Genomic DNA, 1,913 nt, shown 5'->3' with positions numbered 1-1,913 from the left:
AAAAATTCATTAAAGCTTGGGCAATTATAAGCCATTTTTCCTGTGGAGATGAATTGTTACAATGTTTCCTGGAGGTTCTATATAATCTAATATGAATAATTTAAAAATTCACTTAAATATAAATTTTTTCCTGTTTAATTTTTGAAAACTCGCATACTTGGGATTCAGTGTTGCCAGGGGTAAAGAAAGTAGATGGTAGAGTGACCACTATTGAGAGACAGGACTAGCTGGATTTCCCAGGCCGACTAAGAATCCCTAAACCTAGCTGGGAATGTGCCTGCATCCACCTTTAAACACAGGGCTTCCAACTTAGCTCACACCTGACCAATCGGGTAGTAAAGAGAACTCACTAAAACGCTAATTTGGCTAAAACAGGAGGTAAAGAAATTGCCGATCATCTATTGCCTGAGAGCACAGCGGTAGAGACAATGATCGGGATATAAACCCAGGCATTCGAGCCGGCAACAGCTACCCTCTTTTGGTCCCCTCCCTTTGTATGGGAGCTCTGTTTTCACTCTGTTAAATCTTGTAACTGCACTCTCTTCTGGTCCATGTTTGATACCGCTCGAGCTGAGCTTTGGCTCGCTGTCCACCACTGCTGTTTGCCACCGTCGTAGCAGACCTGCCACTGACTTCCATCCCTCAGGATCCAGCAGGGTGTCTGCTGTGCTCCTGATCCAGCAAGGTGCCCATTGCCACTCCCGATCAGGCTAAAGGCTTGTCATTGTTCCTGCACGGCTAAGTGCCCGGGTTTGTCCTAATTGAGCTGAACACTAGTCACTGGGTTCCACGGTTCCCTTCCGTGACCCATGGCTTCTAATAGAGCTATAACACTCACCGCATGGCCCAAGATTCCATTCCTTGGAATCCGTGAGACCAAGAACCCCAGGTCAGAGAACACGAGGCTTGCCACCATCTTGGAAGCTGACTGCCGCCATCTTGGAAGTGGCCCACCACCATCTTGGGAGCTCTGGGAGCAAGGACCCCCTGGTAACACTATCATGTATTTGCTGTGTAACTTTTGGCAAATTTCTTAACCTCTCTGAGCCAATATGCTTATCTTTAATTTGTGATGGCTTTAGTTGTTGTGATGTAATGTATAGCAATGTATATGATGCAGCTACATTTTCCTAGCACGTAGTAAGAACTCTTAAATAGCAAATAATATTATAATACTCATCATTCTCCCTCGAAAACAAAACTGTTTGTGTTGATCTATATCTTTAAATTGGTAAAAATCATTTCCCCCCATTAAACCTCTTTTCCAACTTTTAAACACACTTACTTGGTCCCTCTTTGAATGCTGTTTGCAGTTGAAACTCTTTCTGCATATCAGATGTAAGATTATTAAAAAATCTTTAAAGTATTTAAAGAATTTAAAATTACAAACAATTTAGTTACAAGCCGTGGATTTAGGTGTAATTTCTCAAACTTATTCTGATGTAAACAAGGATTTATTTCACATTGAAATAATAACAAATACCTGTTGCGTAGGAATTAGTTATTCAATTTAGCAAAGGAATATTTGTCTGCAAAATACTTTTGTATTAATTTCCTATTTCTAATGGTTAATATGGGCTCATTCTCTTCTTGAATAGATATTATTTACATTACTTTTATCTCATAATGTATTAACACTTTTAGACACTTCTGCAATGGAGTTTGAAACACCTATGAAGGCTTATTTTATGAATTTTTCAGCTATTGTTTTAATGCTATATGAAATTTTAACAGAATTGTTTGACAATGACTGAAATTTTAAATAGTAACTCTATGAATAATTATTTGTGAGACTCAGGTGAAACTTAAAAAGTACTCTTTAGATACCAACTTTTCTTCTCCAGTGTCTAAACGATAAAGTTGAAATTCCTCTGCCTGGAGATGAAACTGTCATCAACTTAATACAACATAGC

The 1,913-nt window shown here is 38.8% G+C and overlaps 1 annotated feature.

Annotated features, from left to right (window-relative positions):
- Nucleotides 430–1,629: an enhancer, noted in NCBI's record as "MED14-independent group 3 enhancer chr11:25987090-25988289 (GRCh37/hg19 assembly coordinates)". NCBI's record gives its function as "activates an origin of replication core promoter dependent on BRD2, BRD4, P300/CBP and CDK7 cofactors, and independent of MED14, by STARR-seq in HCT116 cells {active_cell/tissue: HCT116}" and the evidence as "EXISTENCE:reporter gene assay evidence [ECO:0000049][PMID:35650434]".

This window comes from Homo sapiens, chromosome 11, assembly GCF_000001405.40.
Source record: "Homo sapiens chromosome 11, GRCh38.p14 Primary Assembly".
Classification (NCBI taxonomy): Eukaryota; Metazoa; Chordata; class Mammalia; order Primates; family Hominidae; genus Homo; species Homo sapiens.
The sequence above is the reverse complement of the archived record's forward strand: the minus strand, read 5'-3'. Positions and strand labels throughout refer to the sequence as shown.